General features: G+C 49.1%; 1 protein-coding gene across 18 annotated transcripts in view, besides 4 other annotated features; it reads right to left on the minus strand.

The window, feature by feature from the left end:
* Positions 1-23,636, minus strand: part of SLC22A23 (solute carrier family 22 member 23) — a 188,078-nt gene that overhangs the window by 34,883 nt on the left and 129,559 nt on the right. For 12 of the 18 annotated variants that reach the window (NR_168069.1, NM_015482.2, XM_011514801.3 and 9 more), the window contains one exon: positions 19,979-20,147. Coding sequence is in view for 16 of the 18 variants with exons in the window: in NM_015482.2 (NP_056297.1) it covers positions 19,979-20,147 (169 nt within the window). In the remaining 2 variants the exon portion in view is untranslated. Of the gene's footprint in view, positions 1-19,410; positions 19,464-19,486; positions 20,148-20,241; positions 20,296-23,636 lie in introns of those variants that run through there. The other 6 variants (NM_001382318.1, NM_001382319.1, NM_001382320.1 and 3 more) reach the window with 4 other exon arrangements.
* Positions 6,137-6,986: an enhancer, noted in NCBI's record as "H3K4me1 hESC enhancer chr6:3310226-3311075 (GRCh37/hg19 assembly coordinates)". NCBI's record gives its function as "activates a minimal SCP1, AML or CMV promoter by ChIP-STARR-seq in naive H9 embryonic stem cells {active_cell/tissue: H9 hESC(naive)}" and the evidence as "EXISTENCE:reporter gene assay evidence [ECO:0000049][PMID:30033119]".
* Positions 18,207-18,707: an enhancer, noted in NCBI's record as "H3K4me1 hESC enhancer chr6:3322296-3322796 (GRCh37/hg19 assembly coordinates)". NCBI's record gives its function as "activates a minimal SCP1, AML or CMV promoter by ChIP-STARR-seq in naive H9 embryonic stem cells {active_cell/tissue: H9 hESC(naive)}" and the evidence as "EXISTENCE:reporter gene assay evidence [ECO:0000049][PMID:30033119]".
* Positions 20,175-21,374: an enhancer, noted in NCBI's record as "CDK7 strongly-dependent group 2 enhancer chr6:3324264-3325463 (GRCh37/hg19 assembly coordinates)". NCBI's record gives its function as "activates an origin of replication core promoter dependent on BRD2, BRD4, P300/CBP, MED14 and CDK7 cofactors, with strong dependence on CDK7, by STARR-seq in HCT116 cells {active_cell/tissue: HCT116}" and the evidence as "EXISTENCE:reporter gene assay evidence [ECO:0000049][PMID:35650434]".
* Positions 20,908-20,957: an enhancer, noted in NCBI's record as "active region_23889". NCBI's record gives its function as "activates an Ori minimal core promoter by ATAC-STARR-seq in GM12878 lymphoblastoid cells {active_cell/tissue: GM12878}" and the evidence as "EXISTENCE:reporter gene assay evidence [ECO:0000049][PMID:35858748]".

The raw sequence follows: 23,636 nt of genomic DNA on the forward strand, positions 1-23,636 counted from the left end.
ATGATAAACGTTTGAGAGAATGGATATGCTGCATGCTATTATGTGACCACTATACATTTAATGTAGCACAACATCACTATGTACCCCATAAATATGTACAATTCTGATGTGTTAATTTAACAAATGCTGTTACAAAGATAAAGCCCTGCATTATGCATACCAGGCAGACATTGGTGCTACTGGAATTCCATCAGTCCAGGCATTGGATCCCAGAGAGGATTCAATTCTGCTGTTCCCCTTTCTTATCTGGGCCCACGGAGCCCTTGCCCTTCAGGAGAAAAGTCTCTCCTTGTCCCAGACTTCAAAGCCACAGGCACAGACCAGAGCCTGAGGCAGGAGGGTGTGTGTGCAGCCCAGTGGTGCAAGGGCAGACAGGGCTCTGAGACTCTGCCTGCTCCTCAGTGATCACTCCCTCATCTTTGTCATCCTCCAATTGGGTCTAAAGGCAACACACTTTGGATACCTAAAAACTGACAACAACCAATAAATGTCTTTATGAGAAGTGATGATGAGCAAGTCCCCTTCTAGAGAGTCTCTGAGAATTGCAAAGCTCATAGAAAAGATTTCAAGGATATTACTGTTTACAAAGGCGTGGTGTGACCTTAGGATTTAAGAAGTGGGTATGGGCCTCTTTGGGAGCCCAAGCTTTCGATGGGTCTCCAAATTGTTTTTTTCTAATACATACTGAGCATTGTCACTACAAATCCATCTGAAATGGATTTGTCACTACTCACTCAAATCCACTGAGCGAGTTGGATAGAAGCCCGCATGGCGTGGGTTGTAGTGGGGGCAGTCCCAGGCAGGTGGTCCAGGGGCTGGTCAGGGGAGGCTCTGGAGAGGCCGGGCTCTGCTTGGACCGTCTTGGAAGATGAGCAGCTGCAGGGCAGGCCCTGTATCCCCTCGTACTGCTGGAGGTGTGTGGGGCAGGACCCAGAGGTAAGGCATGGGGTTGTGGGACGGTGCATTTGTTGTGTTCAGAGAGCTGCAAGCTGATAAACCCGAATGCTGGGAATGAGGTGAGAAGACGCAGGGAGAGGAGAGGGATGCAGGGCCCAGGGAGTGGAAGATCCTGAGTGTTATGGGCTCTGATGAGCAGCAGCCACGGGACTGGAGTGAACTGAAGTAAAGACAGCACTCCCCAGGAGATCTGGGCGCGAGACAAGGGACAGGCTCCCCTTAGCTACATGACCATCTCCACTGGGGGGTAGCACTGCTCACCACCTTCCCCATGACGGGATTTACAACCAACAGACACTGTCCCACCAGTGTCCCCCGTGTGTGATGCTTGCAAGTCCATGATATAGTGGCGCTATAATTAACCCCATCTTACAGATAGCAAAATTCAGGCCAAGAGAGTTCAAGTACATTGCCCAGGATTACACAGCTATTTAATGGCAGAGCTGGGATCTGAACCCAGGCAGTCTGATGAGATAGCCCACACCCTTAACCTCTGTGGACACAGCACAGCAGCAAACCCATATTGCCTGGACGGCACTCCGGTGACTGAAGTTGGGAAGCAGTGTTCCAGAGATGCTTCCTCAGGCATTGCGGAATGCCACAAGCCCAAAGGGTATGTGTAGGGAATACTTAAGTTTTATGACGCGCTCCGTGAATTTAAATTTGCTGCAAAATCATGAAGAATTCGTTGGCCTGTCAGCCTCTGAACAAGCCCAGAGATGGTTGTTTTAGTTTGGATAATGTGCAGCGTGGCCATATTATGGGAACTTAATGAAATCTCTGCTGACAAGTACATAACGTAATAACGCCACACAAATTAAAAAGCCAGCCAAGGGCCCAGGACTTGGGAGGAATAGAGCTGAGCCTCAGAGAAATTGATGACTTTCAACAAAAAATCAGGAAGCACGGTGGGTAGCTGGAGCTTCATCTGTCTGGTGCATCCTCACATGTAGACGGCCAAAAAGCGACCTTGAGGATGACTTCTGCAACCGTAAAACACAACTAGGCATTAAAACCACAGCAGCTTCCCTGGGAGAAAGCCTTGAAGTTGGCTCTCAGAGTGGCTGTGGCCAGGATGGCAGTGCAAGAGGAGAGGTGCAAACTGGAGGAGTCCCATTATCTTAGTCTGTCTGTGTTGCTATAAAGGAACACTGGAGGCTCTGGAGGCTGGGTCATTTATGAAGAAAAGAGGTTTATTTGGCTCACAGTTCTGCAGGCTATACAGGAAGCATGGCACCAACATCTGCTCTCCTTCTGGTGAGGCCTCAGGAAGCTTTTACTCATGGTGGAGGGCAAGGGGAGCTGGCATGTCACGGGGTGAGAAAAGGGGCAATAGAAGGGGGAGGTGACAGGCTCTTTCAAACAACCAGCCCTTGAATGGCCTAATAGAGAGAGCTCACTCATTACCGTGGGGAGCGTACCAAGCCCAAGGGGTCCACCCCCGTGACCCAAACACCTCCCACCAGGCCCTACCTCCAACACCGGGGGTCACATTTCAACATGTGATTTGGAAGGGACTCATGTGCAAACTCTATCACCCAGGTAAGGGAAAAATAATTTGGTTCATGCAGCAAAGGGCTTGCTTGAAACCACAGATGTGGAACAGGAAGTTTCTAAAGCTGTAAGTATTTAATTCTTTACTATGTGGTGGTACTATCATTATCCCCATTTTACAGATGGGAAAACTCAGGCAAAGAACGTTCAAATACATTGCCCAGGATTACACAGCTATTCAATGGCAGAGCTGGGATTTAAACCCAGACAGGCTGACTGGAGAGACTGTCAGGCTGGGAAGACCTAAAGGAGCCCAGCCTTCACACCTAACAAGTGATTGCTCTAAGCTGGCTGGCTCACTGATCCCCAGGGCTTCTGTGGGAAGGACGTGGGCAGAACTACAAGTCTCCACTCACCCTCCAAGACCTAAACCCCAGGTGGGGGGAGAGAAGCAGAGGACAGAGAGCCCTGCTGGATACAGAGTGGAGAGTATTTTTCTCTTTGCTTCTAAAGAGCCGTTCAGGACAAGGACGCTGTCTAGAGCAGAATGTTCAAGCTGAGGTCACCCAGGACCAGGAAGGAGCAGGCAGAGGTGCTGCCAGGCTGTGTGTGTCTGCAGTGCCCCAGGGGTAGAGGGAGGCAGATAGCTGCCTTCCCACCAAGCAGGCGTCAGCGTCTGCAGCGCGGTATGGATACAGCAATGGAGGGGCACAAGGATTCCTCCTCTAGGGTAAGTAGGATGCTTGCCAACTTGGAGGATTTTAGAGCAGATGTTTGCTGATGGGCCATGAACATGCTGAGCAGACGGCATACGGCAGCGCTACGACATGCACAGGTGGCACTTGGTTACTGACAAGCTGAGGGTAGGCACAAAACCTGCACTCTCAGTGGCATGTCCAGGCAGGTGTCCTCACTGGCTCCGGGTCTCAGTTCATCTCGACGCTCTGACCCCCCACATTCCAGCAGAACTTGGGGACTGTGGAGAGGGCTCTTTCCTCCTGATGACACATCTAGTGGAGGTCTCGTCTGAAGGTGAATGACAGATTGGACTCAAGCCCTTTTCAGAAACCCCTTCAGGATGGTTAGAAGGTCCACAATCTTCATTCATGATTCTGGAACCCCCAAAGCATTCTGGCCATAATACCTGAACTGGCCTGAACTCAATGCAGGCAGAACCCAACTGGGATACCAGTGCCTTTAGCCTTCACTTGTCCCTCCTCACGGAGCCCTGCGGATGTTCCACTGCAGGATAGTCATATGCTGGACGGCAGACTGAGGCCCAGGCCCTGCTGGCGTCCAATATGGACGTATCTCGGATCAGCGAGAGCTGCTCAGGAACCACACCACGGTAGGTGCATGCTGAGCACCTGCTGGGACAGCCCCCGGTGTGACACTGTCCACAGCAGCTGGAAGCGGTGACTGTCGGTGAGTTACAGTGGAGGATTCCAGGGTCGGGTTTGGCTATGGAATTAATTAAGCAAAGCACAGATAAACCCATTCTCTACTTAAAAAACTAAAATATTACAGATTCCATCAATGGATGAATGGATAACAAAATGTGGTCCATTTGTACAATGGAATATGATTTGGCCTTCAACAGAAGGGATCTGACACCTGCTACAGCATGGGAGAACCTAGAGGACACCGTACTCTGTGCAATAAGCCAGCTGCCGAGGGAGGAACACCTTGACATTCCACTCACATCAGGCACTAGAGGAGTCAAATTCATAGCAAGTAGAGTGGGGGCTGCCAGGACCTGGGATAGAGGAAGGTGAAAAAATTCTAGAAATGGATGGTGGAGATGGCTGCACAACATCGCGTTGTGGATGTGGTCACTGAGTTGTACAATTTAAAATGGTTACAGTGGAAAATTTTATGTTACGTGTATTTTACCACAATTAAAAGAAAATATTACAGAGAAGACGAAAGCCCCCCCATACCGCTCACCCCAATCCCAGTGCCCCTGCACTCACCCTCCCGTCCTCCAGGGCTAAGCCCTCCCTGGGTGGGCACATGTCCTTCCAAATCGTATTCAGGGCGCTGACACGCACCTGCATCTCCAGGTGCCGCCTCTGCTATGACACACTGCCCCCACATCACAGTGAAAAATGCCAGTCTCACTCTAAACATTCCCTTCCTTTTAGATTGGCACACATTTGCCCACCTGGTGCTCAGAGACAGTTCCCCCAGGTGTGGACAGTGGCTCTTCTCCTGAGGTCTTGAATAAAAGCACATTAATTCCTACTTGTGAGGGGAGGGCACTAACTCAGGGTTGATCAAACCTCACAAAAACGTGAACCATGCCATTTTCCAGCATGTACTTGGGACATAAAACCTAACATAAAACCACAGCATGGGCCGGGTGTGGTGGCTCACACCTGTAATCCCAGTACTTTGGGAGGTCGAGGTGGGTGGATCATGAGGTAAGGAGTTCAAGACCAGCCTGACCAACATGGTGAAACCCCGTCTCTACTAAAAATACAGAAATTAGCCAAGCATGGTGGCGCAGGCCTGTAATCCCAGCTACTCAGGAGTCTAAGGCAGGAGAATCACTTGAACCTGGGAGGCAGAGGTTGCAGTGAGCCGAGATTGTGCCACTGCACTCCAGCCTGGGCGACAGAGCGAGACTCTGTCTCAAAAAACAAACAAACAAACCAACCAAAAAACCCCAACAACCCACAGTGTGGATCGGCAGGTCCCTAACCCCATGGCTTCAATTAATCTTAAAAAGAGCCGAGGGCTGGGCGCTTTGGGAGGCTGAGGTGGGTGGATCATTTGAGGTCAGGAGTTTGAGACCAGCCTGTCCAACATGGTGAAACCCCCATCTCTACTAAAAACGCAAAAATTAGCCAAGCATGGTGGCGGCTGCCTATAATCCCAGCTATTCAGGAGGCTGAGACAGGAGAATCGCTTGAACCCGGGAGGTTTGCAGTGGACCAAGGTCGTGCCGCTGCACTCTAGCCTGGGCAACAGAGTGAGACCCTGTCTCAAAATGAAAATCAAAATAAACATGAAAAGAGCCAAGAATTCGAAATTAAGTAAAAGGGGTCTCTAATTAAATGCAGAGGTAACTCAGTCCACTCACTGAAAACACAGACTTGCTTCACAGAGGCGCGCCCAGGGTCTTCAGACAACTGAATCCTAGCTGAGAAAGCCCCAGGCCACTAACGCTGGGCAGAGGCCTCAGAGCAGGGTGGCACCTGACCGTAATAAGGACTGTGGGCTGACAAGCAGGTGGCACCTGACCATAATAAGGACTGTGGGCTGACGAGCAGGTGGCACCTGACCATAATAAGGACTGTGGGCTGACGAGCAGGTGGCAGGAGGCAGCGGGCCAGCTGCACACAGGCGTTCCAGCCTCCTTGGTGGTACAGGAGCTTCACACACACATGCTTCTGAAGGGTTACACCACGGTCACACAGAAGTACCTGCTGCCACAGGGATGGCTCTCCAATCACTCACCAGGGACAGGCAACATTACAAAACGGAACTACAGTCAGAAGGGCATCTCCGGATTGCACTTAACCCAGCCCCTCACTGCACAGCAGGTGACCTAGGCCTGGCCATGCTAATACCCTGCCTGGGGCTTCATGAATGGCAGAGGCAGGCCTGGAACCTGGGACTTAAGGCCCCTAAACCTGTGGAGTTTTCCTACATCACACCATGATTGCAGTATTGCTTCTACAGCAGGAAAAATGTATTCTACAAAGAGTCCCACCCAAATTAGCTAGGCAGAAGAGCTGGTTCTTAGAGATTTCTATGGAAAATGTATTTATGTGGAACTTTTCCCCAGTGGTATCATGTACACAATGTTACTGTATCAAGGCAGGAAAATTTCTCTGTGTTTTCTTAATACCATCACATTGTCACTCCTCAAAGCTGAGTGTCAGCACGCAGTTCAAGCGGGAGCACCCTGTCTCCCACTGGAGCACCCTGTCTCCCAGGGAGCACCCTGTCTCCCACTGGAGCACCCTGTCTCCCAGGGAGCACCCTGTCTCCCACTCAAGCACCCTGCCTCCCACTCGAGCACCCTGTCTCCCAGGGAGCACCCTGTCTCCCACTCGAGCACCCTGTCTCCCACTCGAGCACCCTGTCTCCCACTCAAGCACCCTGTCTCCCACTCGAGCACCCTGTCTCCCAGGGAGCACCTGATGCACCGCAGGGTAACTGATGATTTAACAGTGGTGTGTTGCTTGTGGTCCACATTCCCATCTCTGTCCTCTTTTCTGGAGTGGGGATTTGGCTAAGTCTCAAGCCCGTCTGATTTACATTTCATGGATCTGTTTTACATCTTAGTCCCTGTAACCTGAGTAATTGCTCAGTAGAATCTGTAATTAAAACTCAATACTGTGAAACCCTACGAGGTTGATCATTTTTCCTTGACATCTAAAAATAAAATAAATTATTCCTCTATCCAGTTGGAGACTGACATAGACAAGTGTACTATGTTGGCTGCCTTCCTGCCAATTCACTTAACACCTGCTGTGAAGAAATGCCAGCTTGGCAACTGTATGAGACGCACGTCTACCCTCTTTAACGTACTGTACTAGCACATTTACTCATAAAGAAAATACAGGAAGGAAATAAGATGAACTGCCCATGCTTATTAAATTAATTTTACCCTCAAGTCATTCCTTTATTTGTTTTTCGAAATATTTAGTTGCAGGGCGATACCTGTGCAGACAGGTGTGCCTTCCTGTCTGTGGTTCCACGTGACGCCATTCACGGGCTAAACATGCACTGGGCACCATCCACCTGCTGTGGACGGGCTGGCCTGGAGATGAAACACACACAGTGTCTGGGCCCCAAGGAGCTCACTGTCTAGTTGGGGCAAAAACGTGTAAATTAATAAATGCCTAATAAATGAGGAGCTTCTATCAAATAGGCCTTCCCATCAAAGAGTGGGGGACACAGAGCAGGGACTGGGGGAGGGAGGAGAATCTCAAAAGGCATCGTGGAGATAAGGTTTCCCTGAAAGTGATGTGAGAAGGGCTGTAGGCTGCAGTGAGGGTGCTTCTGATCTAAAGGGGTGATTCTAGCCACTGACGCTTTGGGGTGTTGCCACGTATCAGAGTATTATGAGATTCTGAAGAGATTCTAAAAAAATAATAAAGGCTAAAGTTGAATTAAGTACCAGTTTGGGGAGTATCTTTAGTTTCTGGCTCAAAACTTTTGCACAAAATATAAGCTTGGATTCTGTACATAATCTTCCACTTGGATTTTTTAAACGTTAGTTCTGTTTGGTATTAAAACAATAAGGTGGCTTTCATTAAACTTCAGACTGTAGAGAGATGGGATGAGTATCATGAAATCGAATAAAGATTGGCTCTGAGGATGGTTAGACCCCAAGGTTTTCCTAAGGCAAATGAATTCCTTGAAAATCTCTTGGGAGAAAAAGTGCATTCATAATTTAAATGACTATGCTGCTAATTTATCTGTTACAAAAGCTCAGAACCTTGTGTCTCTTTTGTCTTTCAAAGTGATATACACTGAGGCTCCAAAATTCTGCTCTAGAAAAATTATGGTGGAAATCTCTTGGGAGCCCTGGGTTTGTGTGCCAATTTTGTAGCCCTGGGCAAGTCACCTTATTCCTTTGGGCCTCAGTTTCCCCACATCTGTAGACCGGGTTGTGGAACGGCACCAAGGTCTTGCCTGGCTTCAACACTCTCCATCTAGACTCAGGGCTAACGCTCACTGTTGCCTCCTTCCGGAAGGTGAAGAAGATGCTGCTCCTGACAACGCACTGAATAAATGAGCTTATGCTGCTTTAAGTTTTTGCCAGACCAAATGAAGTCAGTGCCTAAGACAACTTTGGAGTCAGACTTTTCATGATTAACCAACTCCAAATGTATAACAATTGGCATACATTTAAAACATCCCTTAATTCATATTATAAGCGGATGAATACTTGGAGTCCAGTTGCAGGTTCACCTACAATCTATAACCTTCCATGTGGCTGGGTTAACCTTCTCCCTCTGTCTGCACCTTTCACTCATTTATCCGTAGAAGCAATTATCAGGCTGCAGAAAATATAAGGCACACAGAGCCTTCGAAATACAACGTGGTAGGGGGATTAATTTGGCAAATGACTTTTAAAAAGTCTGATGTTGTAAAACAGTGTGAGGAGGTAAGTAGGCAGAGGAACAAGGGCACTCTGTCGCTTCTGCTCCTGAGCAGAATTTTATCCACACCTCTATGATAGCAGCCTCACCTCCTACTCACCTCCTAATGAAACAAGTCGCGACACCTTAGCCAATTCTGATGGCTGAGTGAGGCTGTCCCGGTCGCACTCAGGACTGCCACTCTTTAGTACTGGCCATGTGGTCTGCCAGAGTCCCTAGGGCCAAGCAGATGGGCGGCTGGGTCCCCTTGTCCTCATTCCAACCACCATGTGGATGTTTGCCAGACGCCAGCAATGGCAACACCCTAGCAACTGACCCCGGACACCTGTCACCAGAGGCCCACTCACTTGGTCTCTGTCGGTTGCCAACAGCCCAGCCCACCACCCCACAAAGTGCACACACGTGCACATCTGTACATGTGCACACATGCACACACAGATGCATGCTGCCTGCGCTCTGCCTGTTTGAAAGCTGCAGTGCATCTCAAACTGGCCTGGAGCAACCCCAGCTTCCCGGTGGGAGCAGGGTGGTGAGATGGACTCTTGGGGCACATCTTAGCATGAGGACAGGAAGGGCGAAGGCTGGCCCCCGGGACAGCCACACTGGCCTCCAGAGCAGAGGCTCAGTGCTCACTTCCCCCTTGCAGGAGTCTCTCCGCTTCTCCTTGCAGGCATTTGTGTTGACGCAGAGGTTCCTATTGTCTTACACAATCTCTGTGGAGTGTTGTCTGAGGGCTCCCTAAACTTCCATGCCATCAGCAAATCCCAGAATACCCACTTACAGAAAACATTTGAATCTCACTTTTAATTGCTCCATTTTTATGACTGAAATATGGGTGACCATTTTATTTCCACATCTGCCTTTTGTCAGTATTACCTCATCTATCTCCCATCTAGATAGTTTGTAGGCAGAAAAGATTTGACCAAGAAATTTTTTTTATGTTTCCTATTGATCTCTCAAATTGATTATTGGATAACTTGTAAAAATAATTATTGCCTATTGATTCAAGCTCCCGGAGACTGCATGGTTTTCATGACGCACCTCTTCCGTTTTCCTTTGAGGAGAGCATTTTCCCGCATGCTTAATTGTTGCTGTAACTGAATTCAGTTTCCCTCCTCTCATGTAGGGAACCCACAGCACTTATTTTATCTGTAATAGAGTCTCTTTGTATAATGCAGCATTTTGCCCCCCTTTTGGAATAAAACTGGTTTTAATAGAGGAAGTTGTTGTGTCTGTCAAGTTGTTCTTTCTTGTGTTTGGGCAGGAAAAAAGGCTGATACCTGCTGGATTATGTATGTATAAAAATTCTTGGCCGGGCGCGGTGGCTCATGCTTGTAATCCCAGCATTTTGGGAGGCCAAGGTGGGTGGATCACCTGAGGCTGGGATTCGAGACCAGCCTGACAAACATGGAGAAACCCTGTCTCTGCTGAAGAACTCTGTCTCTACAGAATTAGCTGGGCATGGTGGCGCATGCCTGTAATCCCAGCTACAGGGGAGGCTGAGGCAGGAGAATTGCTTGAACCCAAGAGGTGGAGGTTGTAGTGAGCCGAGATTGTGCCATTGCACTCCAGCCTGCGCAATAAGAGCAGAACTCTGTCTCAAAAAAAATTCTTAAATGGTCTTTTAAAAGTCATTTCAACGATAACAAGAAGAAAACTTAATTGATCAGCTTAACCCATTTTTATTGAGCCCTTATCAGGGCAGGTACTGATACCCCAATAATTTTAAGAACTGTTTTTGTCAATGTTAAACAATGTACTTACATAAAAAAGAGGGCATGGAGGATTCCTCCCAGGACAGAAGTGTAGCTCTGCCAAGTAAATGCTGCTCTCAGCAGCCCAGGGCCCTCCGCTTGCCCGGCATTCCAGGTCCCTGGGCCACAGAACCCCGGGCTCATTATGTATGACTGGGCTGAGCAGGAGGTGGTAGTCCCTGTGGCTCTGGAGTCCACCTGCTGGAATCCAGACCCCAGCCCCACTTACTAGCCATGGGGCGTCAGCAACACCGCATCTCTCTGTGCCTCAGTTTCCTCATCTGCACTGGAGGCCGTCCCGGTATCTACCTCACAGGGTCTTCAGGAAGATTTAGGGAGCTAAGTTATGTAAAGTGCTTAGCAGGGTTTAAGAAACAAACCCTCAAGAGATGCTAAAAATCAGTATTACTCTGACCAAAATATTTTTAATGATATTTTAAAGAGCCAAAAAATTAGGGCTATTTACATATTGGAATTTTTTTTTAAATGAGGCATTTATTTAACCTGAGGCCATTTAAATGTTTTATAATAGCTTTCTTCTTGAAATTAAAAAAAATAAAACTCCTTGTAGCATGTCTGTTTTTTTCTAAGGGTTTCTGCACGGCCAGCCTCTGGAGTGTCTTCTCCGGGCCAGTGTCCTTTACGGCAGCACAATCTCACGTCCTCCGCGCTAGGGTTTACCTCCTCATGTGGGGAATCGGTTCTGTTCCTTACTCTCCAGTGTTATGCAGTGCAGCGTGATCCTTCTCTAATTTCCTCCTTATTTCCCATACTGCTTATTATCGTCTTATTGCTTTCCCAGATGCTTTTGATGATCATGCTGATTGCCAGCAGATCTTTCCTCTAATTCACCAGCTTCACACATTCAGCCTTTTGCGTTTCTATCTCTAGGCGTTTCATGCAAAACACACACATTAGGTGGGCTCGAGGTGAGAATATTTTTCTACTAGGTGTGCACCTGATTAAAAGTCTTGGGGAAAAGTGCAAAAAAAAAAACTGCACACACTCACTTCCTGCAGGGTTGGAGGGATGGAATTGGGTGTGGAAAGCACTTTGCCAGCAAGATGCCCCATCTGTGCCTGCAGGGAGGTCGGGGGAGCAGGCTGGGGAAGCCTTCCCTTCTCGTGAACCTGGAACACTGCCGTGACTGAAGACTCCACAAATGCGTGCGTGTCCCCACAGCACAGAGGAAATGCGTAGAGCCAGGACCAAGTTTGTTTTACTTGCTTTCATCGCTTCCAGGAATACTGATGACTTCTGCTGTCCGAGATGGTCAAGCTATCTGTTCACATCGTGGAACTGGACAGGACCATCAGATCTCACAGGCCCTTCGAGGATGGCATCTGTTTCATTTCACTACACAGTCTCGAACCCTATTTCATGTAAGAAAAGTGTGTGTTCGGCTGGGCATGGTGGCTCACACATATAATCCCAGCACTTTGGGAGGCCGAGGCAGGCGGATCACTAGGTCAGAGATCCAGACCATCCTGGCTAACATGGTGAAACCCCGTCTCTCCTAAAAATACAAAAAATTAGCCAGGCGTGGTGGTGGGCACCTGTAGTCCCAGCTACTTAGGAGGCTGAGGCAGGAGAATGGCGTGAACCCAGGAGGCAGAGCTTGCAGTGAGCTGAGATCACGCCACTGCACTCCAGCCTGGGCGACAGAGTGAGAATCCGTCTCAAAAAAAAAAAGAAAAGAAAAGAAAAGAAAAGTGTGTGTCCAATGCAGCTGACTCACAGGATCTTCTTTTGCAACTTCTTATCATCCTTTTTCAAAGTATGTTAGGTCCTCTGTGTGCTTCCCAAACAGCAGGGCTCAGCGGCGTCTCAGGAGGCCTTCTTAAAACACACGCTGCCAGGCCCACCACAGGCGTTTTTATTCAGCAGGCCTGGGGCGGGGGCTGGGCCTGAGATCCGTATTTCTAGCAAGTTCCCAAGTGATGCTGATGCTGCTGGCCCAGGGACTGCACTTTGAGAACCACTGACATTTGAAAACCTGTTTTGAATGCTTTTCCCACATTTGTGAGTGATTTGGTGAAGGTTTTTTCATTTATTGGTTCCCCCACCTACAAATAGGAATAAATCCACCAACTCCACCAACCTCTGGTTCCTTGGATCCAGGAAGAGCTAAGGAATTCGAGAGTACTATGGTTAATATGTTTTCACACGTAAGAAGCGTGCAGCTGATGTGAAGAAAAGCACATTTCTAAAATGTGAAGACACAATCAGCAAATGTCACAGTCCATGTGTCTGCCACCAGGGAGGCATAAGATGTCCAAGTGCAATGTTTTCTTTCTTTGCCCCACCGTTCCATGAGGGCGGGACTGTCTGCCTTGCTTACGATGACACCTCCACCCCTAGAAAACATTTAAGCACTCACATGTTGGGCTGAGAGCCCTCACTGGGGAGCTTGTCGAACTAGCATCAAAATTCTGCACCTACTCTTAGAGCAGACGAGCACGTTGTTTTTTAAGAGATAGGGTCTTGCTCTGTCACCCAGGCTGCCGTGAAGTGGTGCAATCATAGTTCACTGCAGCCTTGAACTCCTGAGCTCAAGTGATCCTCTCACCTCAGCCTCCTCAGTAGCTGGGATACAGACACGTGCTCCCATGTGTGGCTAATTTTTTAAATTTTTGGTAGAGATGGGGTCTCCCTTTGTTGCCCAGGCTTATCTTGAACTGCTGTGCTCACGTGATCTTCCTGCCTCAGCCATGCGCCACCATGCCCAGCTGCAAATTTTGTGTTATCAATGATCATGTGTACTCAGTACCCTTAATTTACCTGATGAGGAATGGTGATGGCATGCACCAACGTTTTGGGAGAGTGGCGCTCACATCTCCACTATCTCCAGAAGTCCTTACTCCCTGTGACTTCTTCCAAGCCACTTGAGATAAACACCACATGGCAGCCTCTCCAACAGCCTTCTCCCTCCCTTGTCATTCCTCAATAGTGAATTCCCGCGCAGGAAACTTGATGTCACCCTGTCCCACGTATTACCTTCCTGATCTTCCATGCTGCGGTTTTCTAGGATGTTCTAACGTAACGTAGACCTGGACCTCCAAACACAAGACCAGGCTGTGTCTTGCACAAGGGCTCCCAGCTGAGGAAGGAGCTCTGTCATTAAGCCATGTGCCCAGTGCAGGCTGTGGCCACCTGGAAGGGGCACCTTTCCGCAGTGTGCACAATTTCAGAGCAGCAGCTCTTGCACCCAGCTCCCTCTTCCATTCTGGCACCTCCTGCCACCTATCTTCCTAGCGCATCTAAGCAGAATTCCTCCTAGATGCTCCTAGATACTCCCTTCTTCTTGTGGTTTGGATCTTGCATCTTCCCCGCCAACCCCTCGTTGTTGGCTGTGACCCTGGAAGGATTTCATGTTTCTTCTGGAAGAAGGATCAGTCGGTATGACTTCCTTCTAGATGAGCGCTAAATCCCTGCTGCTCTTTACCGAGTGACAATCAATGCCTGAGCAAAATGACTAAAGATGCATTTCTCTTCAGGCATCTGCGTCCATCAGTGCAATCACCCAGCGCTTTGACGGCGTCTACTTTCAGGTGAAAAACACTCACAAGGGCTCTTTCTTCTGCCGCTCCTGCTTCACAACTAAGTGCTCAAGTTTGACTCTGCAAACCACACGAGAGGACCAGGCGAGCGCACCCTCCCATTCTCTGGCCACCAGCTGCCGCAGCTCTTCCTTCACCTAAAGCCCAGCCGATCCTGCCATGGCCCAGAAGGCTCAACATATTATAAGCATCCCCAGGCAGCTCGTGCAATGACATCGCTCGCCTATCTTGGCTCCACTTGCTGGAGCATAAATCATTCATGTGTCCCATCTTCCTTGCATCACCAGAGACTCCTGTGCTCACTGCACCCCCTGCCAAGTCCCTGTCCAGTCTCTGGGTGCATCATGCTGCTGCCACCTTTTCCTGGCCAGCGTCTCCACCCTGGGGGTCACTTCATTCCAGAACTCTGCAACCCTGCGGCTGCTGCCTATTAACCAAGCCTTTGTATTTTCTGTATTTCCTAATGTTTTAACATCTGGAGCCTTGCTGATTCCAGAGAGGCTGCTCCTCCCAGGGTTCGCTAATTCCTAGACAGAGTAAAAGATTCACCTGCAAGTGTACTTTTCACACACAAACCAACCCATCCAGAGCCGATACCCCAACCACTTCCTGTGTCGGGCTCTCACACGTGGGCCACCATCCGCCTGCCCCAGTCACCCCGGGGCCAGCTTCCAGACACCTAGGGACAGCCCTATGCCCACGCGCTGCAGAAATGATCAAACTGCCAAAACTCATCCTGCACACCCTGCCTCACCTGCTGCTCCCACAGAAACCGCAATAAAGGCTCCTGCCCACGTTTTTGCCTCCCTGTGTGCCTCCTGGCCCACCCCAGTGCTTCCCAGGAGGCCCTGTGTGGTCCTATGTACCCCTTCCTCCTGGGAACTGAGAGTAATAAATGATCTTTCAATGGCAATTGTCTCCTGGCCTGCTGACCTCACTATACCTGGATAATAATAAAACCCACATCTTAACACAGGCTGCGGCCTCAGTCAAGTCTCCTGGTCACCTCATCCTGTCACCCACCACAGTAGGATAGCAGGACAGGACTTCAGCCTCCAGCCCTCCTGAGCTTCCATGTTTCTTAAAGCTCTGGCCTCCCCATCTCAGGAAACAGACCCAGCTGCCATCACTGCCTCCTCTCTCACCTTTGAGAGTCACCTCAGATCCATCAGCAAGTCTCACCAGGGCCACTCTCAAAGCATCTCTCGAATCAGCCCTCTGCAGGTGACACCCAGCCTTCCCCAGTGCAGGCACCAGGATGTCACACAGCCCAGTGTGTGCGCTGCCTCTGTCCTGGCCCTCACCCGGCTCTACGCCTTCTCCACGAAGCAGACAGATGGGTCCTCACAGAGCACAATCCGGGACACAGGATTCCCCTGCTTAAGACCCTCCAGTGCATCTTTATGCCTTTGTAGAATAAGCCCGTGCTCCTCAGACCCCATAGGGTCTGACCCCACCTGCCTTTCCAAGTCACTTCTGTCCCCTCTTGTCCACCATGCTCCAGCCCTGCTGACCTTCCTCTCCCGGTTCCAGGAGAAGCCGAGCAGAAGCCAACTTTTGCCTTGGCTGATCCCCTTTGTCTAGAACACTTTTCCGCCCAGAAGTTTGTGTGACTTCCTCTTTCTGAACATTTAGGCCTCAGCACAAACATCAGCCCCTCAGAGGGGTCTCTCCTGACCACCCTACTTGGTACGTAGCACTATTTAAAAGCATGTTCCTCATGTGTGTGTGGGTTCTTCAGGCTCCCACCCGCCTCTGCCCCACAATGTGCTTTCAGGAGATCGGGAGCTTGCTCTGGAGATGTATCTAGAATACCTGGACCAGCAACAGCATCAGCATAAGGCAGTGTGGCTGCTTAACAAATACCAGCTCGCTTCACTGCCCTTTCAGATTCTTCTATTTTCTACAGTTCCTGAGATGCACACTCCCCAGTCTGTAGGTTTGGGCCCTCATAGTGGATTCCCCGTGGATCTGTGACCTTTGCCTGTGAGCTCATCTTTAAAGAGAATTTTCTTCCGTGTGAGTCCTGGATGCCTCTGTGGGAGGCCGTGTTTTGGACCCTGAGGGGTCCAATGAGCTTCCCTGGTTCTCACATTGATATCTCAGCCTCAGGGAGCAGGTGGAATTTGGAACACACAGTCCTGCGTGGTGCAGACTTCAAGGCTCCAATTTCTTTGGGTGAATCTTCTTCTGCCCACGGTCCAAGGCAGTCCGCCAGCTCTGGGCTGAGTCCCTGTGGCAGGCAAAGATCTCCCAGTCCTGTGGCCATTGACAGTTTTGACTCCTGGCTTGACTGAAGGAGCTCAGTTCTCACGGCATCAGAGGCCTGGGAGCTCAGCTCTAGCCCCCGGGCAGGTGTTGAAACCCAGAGTCCTCACGCTTCTCTCTGGTTCAGATGCCCTGGGAGCTGCCTCTGTGTCTGCTCCTGCTGGGATTCCCTCCTTGGTTTGACACCTGGGAACTTCCCCTTCTTTCCCTGGAGCTCAGTGTCGTACTTCTAAAAAATGCTGTATTTTAACCAGCATTTATATGTGTGTATGGAGGGGTCCCTGTCTGTTCAGTCTACCATCTCGACCAGAAGATCCCTTCTGGCCAGTCCTCACACGTTTGTCTTTACTGCCCCTACCCCAAGAAGCCGCCCCTTGGGGACCGTGCCTCGTGCAGCTTGGTTTCCAGTCCTTGTTAAGGTACATGCTCCCCTGTCTGCTCCTCAGAGATACAGCACTCCAAAGCACCAAGTACGCTGCTGGGCACCCTGGTGCATGCAATAAATACTTGCTCATTAAAGGAAAGCAAGCAACTTTCAATATGTTGCTACCAACAGCTGGTCATGCTGGCTGGTGCTACAGCTCACCCCCTCTCCACAGCGGGCCACTTCAAATCCTGTCAAACAACAGAGCCCACTGCAGCAGATGGGAGGAAGACAATAAAAAAGGGTAGGCAATTATTGGCTTTTAAAGCCAATAATTCTAGTGGAGGCTTCCAAGGCTGGTAGGCAAAGGTGGTTTACATTTCTCACCACCCACTTTTTAACCTGCCCCATTACACCCAGACTCCTATATATATATTAAGAGGATGCAATAATAACAATAGCAGTGACTAATATTTAATATTCATGAGTACTTATAGAGCAGACATGTACTAAGCACCTTAATAGTAATATAAATGTGTAAATAATTATGATTATCATGGCAGTTAATATACATATGGCACTAGGTGACAGGCACTGTTCTAAATGTCTCATACATTAATTCACTGATTCCTCCCAACCCCATTATTGACCACAATGACGCACAGCTGGTGAACCTGAGGCACAGAGAGATTAAGCGACTTGCTCAGGGTCACACAGCTACTAAGTGGCAGAGGTCCAGGCTCTGTGTCCGAGCCTCCCTTCAGACTGCCCCTCCATGCATATGTTTTCCGTGCGTTATTTCAGTCTTCAAAACAACCCCATGAAATAAGAACTATTATGACCCACTTTTTACAGACATGAGACAACGCGGGCTCAGAGAGGTGTGAGGCAGGCTGGAGGCAGCACAGCCAGTCACTAGGCCAGCTCTACCCAGACTGCAGAGCTGGAGCTGTAAGCGGGAAGCAGAGCACCTTGGGACCGCCATCCTCATGCACACACGTGCACACACATGCACACACGTACACATACATGCACACACATGCACACACGTTTACTTCTGCAAGTCCCTGGATGTCTTTTCAAAAGCTGTATAATTTGTTTTTAAAACTGTATATTTCAAAGAATTTTCCTGAGGTTTTAGAATATTTTTAAATAAATGAATGCCTTACCTTGCCTATCACTAAACCTCAATATGTTTCTAAAATTAAAAAAAAAACAAAACAAAAACCCGGCCCTTCTCACATGGGTCAGCCCTGCATAACTGGAGTTGCTCTGGAAAGACCTTCTCTGCCACTTCTCCCTTGTCAGGTGCACTCCTGCCTGGGACAGGTGGGTGCAGAGCCTGGGGTGAGGGAAACAACCCTGTCTGACCTCTCTTCTCAGGAGTATGGGTCGCCAAGAGGCTGTGCCCTGTTCTCCTAGCCTAGGAGAGAACACTGGTGCAGGCCAGCAGCAGAGGAAGTGGCAGAGAGAATCTGCTGGGGTAGGGACATGAGATGGAAGCTGAGGGAAGACAGGGGCCTGCTGGGGAGAGGGGGTGAGCTGTAGCACCAGCCAGCATGACCAGCTTTTGGTGGCAAAATATTGAAAGTTGCTTGTTTTCCTTTAATGAGCAAGTATTTATTGCATGTACCAGGGTGCCCGGCAGCCTACTTGGCGCTTTGGAGTACTGTATCTCTAAAGAGCAAACAAGGAATAGGGGCCAGGCAGGGGAAGACAGGAGCCAGGTGTGGCAAGAGTTGGCCGCTTCAGGTCCAGGCTCTGACGTGAGTCAGCGGGGGTCAGGGGACCGCGGTTCTGTCCTCTATAGGATGGGCTGCTGAGATATGAGGGTGGAACCATTTACTATTGCAAAGTGCTTGTCGTCTGTGCCTGGTACAGTGGGAAGCACAGAGAAGCATTTGTGAGATAAATCAGCACCCTTGAACTCCGAAACAGCTAAGCCCAGCGAAGGCTGCCACAAGGGAGGGGGCAGAAAGACTTCCTTAGGAGATAGAAGGAAGAGAGCTGCCCACTCCATCCTTCTCCAGGGAAACTATTGCTCATTCTCCGCTCCTTAAGGCCCTGTTGGGGCACAAGGGCTGTCCTGGAACACGGTTGTGCTGCGGGAGGGGTTTGGACATCCAACTTCGGGACAAGAGCTGGAGGCGGCCCCAGGAGAGGAGCTCAGTTCGGGCAGCGGTGGCTGCTGAGTGGCCTCTCTGGCAGGTGGCCTTTTCCCATCTGCTATTGCTGGCCCCCTGCTGCTGCCGAGGTCCTCATAACACAGTGAGCAAGAACCAGGCTCTCGGGGAAACCGCACCTGCACCCTCGCAGTACATCTACTACCAGGGCAGGGGCGGGGGGCAGTACCACTAAGCCAAAAGGTAGGTGCTTTCTTCCCTCCCGGGCACCTGAGCAAAGGAAGCTCAGCTCCAGTGAACCCTTAAAGCAAGGACAAGACTGACTGCACGGCCAGAAATTTGGTTTTCATTGTTGACTAAATAGTAGCAATACAGGGCCACATCCATGATCTACTTATGGGTAAGGTGAGAGTATCAGCATGGAGAGGGATGGGAAGGAAGGGAAAGGATGAAAAACAGCATTTATAAAAAGGTAAAAGTATCATTTTTAGGGTCAACATCTCTCTATCCGTGGAGCAGTGTTTTCCAGTCTTGACTCAACATAAATTCCCTGGAGAGTTTTTTAAAAAACCCAGTTGCCCAGGTCAAACCCCCTTTACCAGTGTGTTTAGTGTTCCCCCCGTACTGCCGGCAAAGCTAGCAGGTCAAAAGACTTAAGGTTACCCATAGTTCAAAAAGGCATATTAGACTGATATTGAGCAGGGGTGGGCAAGCTATTTTTTGTAAAGGACCAGATAGTAAATATTTTCAGCTTTATACCATACCAACCTGCTGCATCCACTCAACTCTGTGAATAGCCAGAAAGCAGCCACAGGTAATACCTATGTAAACACACGAGCATGGCTGTGTTCCAATAAAACTTTATTTACAAAAACAGACAGTGGGCCTGATGTGGCCCACAGGCTGAAGGTTGCCCACCCCTCGCCTAGAAGAGATAGGGGGACTTTTGTAAATCACTCCTTTAATATCTCCAAATCCCCCCTCCTAACACAAGACCTCCACCTCCCTGCAATCCATTCATAAAAATTCATGTCAGAATAACCCCGTGGGGTGGGTAGCAAGAAGGGGTGAGCCAGACTGGCCAGTGCATTTGCAGATTTTTGGAGCTGGGTGATGGGCTCATTCCACTCTTCTATTTTTGTGTATATTTGAACAGTTTTCCAAGACAGAAAGTTTAAACAATAAAATTTTTTAAAAAGAGAGGAAAACCTTCTCAGACAGAACCACAAGCTGCAACTAGTGGGAAGTGTGGGGATTGTGTGTCCTGCCCGGGGCCGGGCCTTCAGGAAGCATGTGCAGTCGCACCAGCCCAGGGCGCTGTGCAGAGTGTACTCACGACCAGTAGAGCAGCATGAGCAGGAAGGGGCAGATGATGAGGGCCTGCAGCACCTGCCAATCCCGGCACAGGGCGGCTAGCCCAGGCATGAGGAACTGGCCCGCCATGGCCACGAAGCTCGCCACCATCGTAATCATGAACCGTTTTCCAGGGGGGCACAGCTCTATTCCTAGAACACAGAACCAATGAGAGAGAGATGAGTGCCCTGCTCGACAGCCCGAGAAGTCCTGGGTGCACCTGGGCCAGTGCACTGCTTAACCCACCAACGACTGAAATTGTTTTCATCTGCTGCCCACCACAAGTGCCCTATGTGGTGTGCCAGTGTTTTACGGGCGCGTTGAGGCTCCAACTGGGAAGGGAAGTGAGACGGTTGTTCAAGGCCACAGGGCTAGTCGATGACGAAGGGATGCTATAATTCAGAGGAGCTTAGCTCAGAAACCAGGAAATGGTACTGCCTATGGGACAGATCGCCCATTGTTCCTGCTTCCTCTGCTCTCCAGACGTCACTGAGCTTGCTGTCCAGCACGTTCCCCCCTCGTGCCCATCCTGTCGCCATTCCTTCCTGTCCATGATGCTGTATTAGGGGCCATCTCGACCTCTAGACAGGACACCAGGCATGCCCATATACTCACTCCTACCCATATGCACCACCCACCCCTTCTTCTGGTTCTCACTCCAGGGCTCCTTGAGCACTCCGAGTTCCAGGCAACCTACTCACACTGTGAGACAGAGGGAGACTGAGCTAAGTCTCAGCTTATCTATTAAACAAGACAAAAACCAACAATAAGGCTGACTCAGATCATATAGCAATGACCCTACCAGAAAGCCCCTTCTCCACGTGGGAGTTCTGTGGGCCACTGCAACACGGGTGAGTCATGCATCCTTTCTCTGTCTCTATTGGACACCACCCCCGGGCAAGGCCCATGTCTAATTCATCTTTGTAGCTCCAAAACCAAAAACAGTGTCTATTTTCAACAAATGACCACGGCCCCTCTTATTTGCAAGAATCTATTCTTTTACTTTGACCTTGAGTCAAAAAGATGATCAGAAAACTTTAATCTGTGGCACCCAAGTGACAACCAATACAGACTTACTACTACGTGAATCACCATAATGAAAGCCCTTTATAGTAGAAAAAGCAGCTGGGTTTTATATATATTATTTTCCCTACAGAGCATGTACATTTATTTGTGATTCTCCGGCAATATGCAGTATTCTCTAAAGGCTTCTTGCTTGCTTGCTCTTTCAAACATAAGGTAAGAAGAAGAAGGGGAAGGAGGAGGAGGGGGAAGAAGAAGAAGAGGAAGAAGACAGACCCTTCGGAGAGAACACTTTTTATGCCTGTGTGTTGGAGGCTGTTTGGATGGTGGGCTTCATGGATCAGCTGTGACAGCTCATCTGCTGGGTGTCTAGAGACCACAGCAGAGGTAGGAGGTCAGAAGGCAATAAGGGAAGCAGACTAGAGAGAGTACAGATGAATTATGCTTGGCTACAAGGATATTACCAGCCCTAACAAGGAGAGGGCACCATGCCAGCCAATTCCTACAGCAGCTCATCTGCTGGAAAAAAATAATAATGCCATCAGAATTTCCATTGCTGCTCAGCCACAAGCAAACAGATCATCATCATAGCTATCAGTGAACAAGAGAGAAACCAGATTTCACTGATTATTGCTTATAAAGAGGTTTCTACCATTTAATTAGGAAAACAAGATTAAATGGCTCACTCTCAGCCATTTGCTGCAATGCTGTTCCTTTTGGTACCATAGGTCAGGTTCACTTAAAAGATCACTACCTAGCAGGGTCCAGATCTGGCATTTCTGCTCTCAAAAATAATAAAGAAAAATAGGTCTTTTAAGAAAAGACTAACAGTTGTAGGTCTTGTTTTCATTTATTAAGCACAAGCAGTAAATTGGCTGCTATGGAAACCAGAAATCTATATTAGCCACGGTAAATTCAGTGTTGGAAGCTCAGCATGGGCTAGTATCAGATAAGGAAATTCAGCACTTGGCCATCCAGGTAACCTTTAAACAAAGTCAAAGAGATAATGTGGAAACAGCATGATGGCGTCGTATCAGTGGTTTGCTGGTACAGCAGACATATATTGCTTGCTGTTTTTCTCTTCAATACCTCTCTTTAGTGACATGATACAATGAAAATATCTGCAACTACACTTCTTTTACCAGAGTCTCCCTTTGGGATGTCTAACCCCACATCCTAATCTACACTGATGTGATGTCACACAAGGGATCATGAGGCCACTTCCCAGACCAGGTTCTAGGTTTGCGGATGAGCAGGGAAAATGCTCCCTTGCTGGACCAGTCTGGCTTCAGTCTCCTCTTGCTACAAGTGAGTTGCTGTGGCTGGCACATCTCTTAGTGTGACTGTCAATATGACAATTATTAAATGGTCATAGCTTTTCCTCCAAAGGTTGTCTCAATCCTCTCCTGTAAACAAGTGGTCGGCGTGGCCCCTAACCCTTTGCTGCCTGAAGTGTAGCGTGTGAACCTGCTGTGTCGGTATCGCATGCGATCACATGCGAGCTTGTTAGAAATGCAGCATCTTAGGCCCCACCCAGACCTAGAGAATCAGCATCTGCATCTTAATGAGCTCCCCAGACAACTCCTTGAGAAGCACTGGCTCACCGCATTTCTCCAAAACTGTAAGCATGTTTTGCCTCACAGACATATCGGTGGGAGCTGGAGAAGTGGAATAATTTTCTGACCTCTCCACTCCTTCTGTTTTTGCTAGGAATCCTAGCAGAGCCTTGACTTTATTTCAGCAGGTAGAAAAATGCAGAGCACTCCAGCAGAGACTTGGTATTTTAGCATTGCTGCCTAGGCAATGGAAAAACACAGCGGCTTGATGTAAGGACACAGGTATGGCCATCTGCAGTTAACTACCTTTTTTTGTCTTGACTCACCAGTAAATCTTTCCAAACTGCTTGAATCTAACTATATTCTGAAGGTGGCTATAAAGATGTTTTTGTAAAAGAAAGCAATGATTAAGAAACTGCAGGCACTTGAGGATTGCCATTAATCACAAGTTTCTCTGGAAGATGACAAATCAGTTTTTTTGGAAGTGGGAGAGGAAAGAACACATGAGGACATTTCAGCCTTGAGTCCCGGCATCCATCAGGAGGGACGGGGACTGCAGGTGGATCGTTTCTGCTGGGAGGGACGGGGACTGCAGGTGGATCGTTTCTGCTGGGAGGGACGGGGACTGCAGGTGGATCGTTTCTGCTGGGAGGGACGGGGACTGCAGGTGGATAGTTTTTGCTGGGCTCTGCAAGCAGAAGCATTTGGTGCAGCAGCTCCCACACCTTGAAGATGGTTCCAGTCGCCTGGCCAGGGGCCACTGGCCTTGGGCTTGAAAGGCAGGGAATGATGTCCCCAATCCAACTGCCCCTTCAGGGCCTGGCTACTGTGGAGAGTAGATCACTCACAGGCAGGTGTCCACAGTGCCCGTGGAAGACCTTGGCTGGCAGCTGTGTCCCGGTACTTACTAGAATCAATTTCTTTGCCAATGGAACCAAACCCAAATCCTTTTAGTAGATTTTCATTCATGGGCAGCCAGACTCTCCCTGATTATGTAAAACATTTAAGGGCCACAAGAAAGTATCTTGGGTGATGCATCAAAGATTCAAACATTAAACTATC

The sequence above is a fragment of the Homo sapiens genome, chromosome 6 (assembly GCF_000001405.40).
Source record: "Homo sapiens chromosome 6, GRCh38.p14 Primary Assembly".
NCBI lineage: Eukaryota > Metazoa > Chordata > Mammalia > Primates > Hominidae > Homo > Homo sapiens.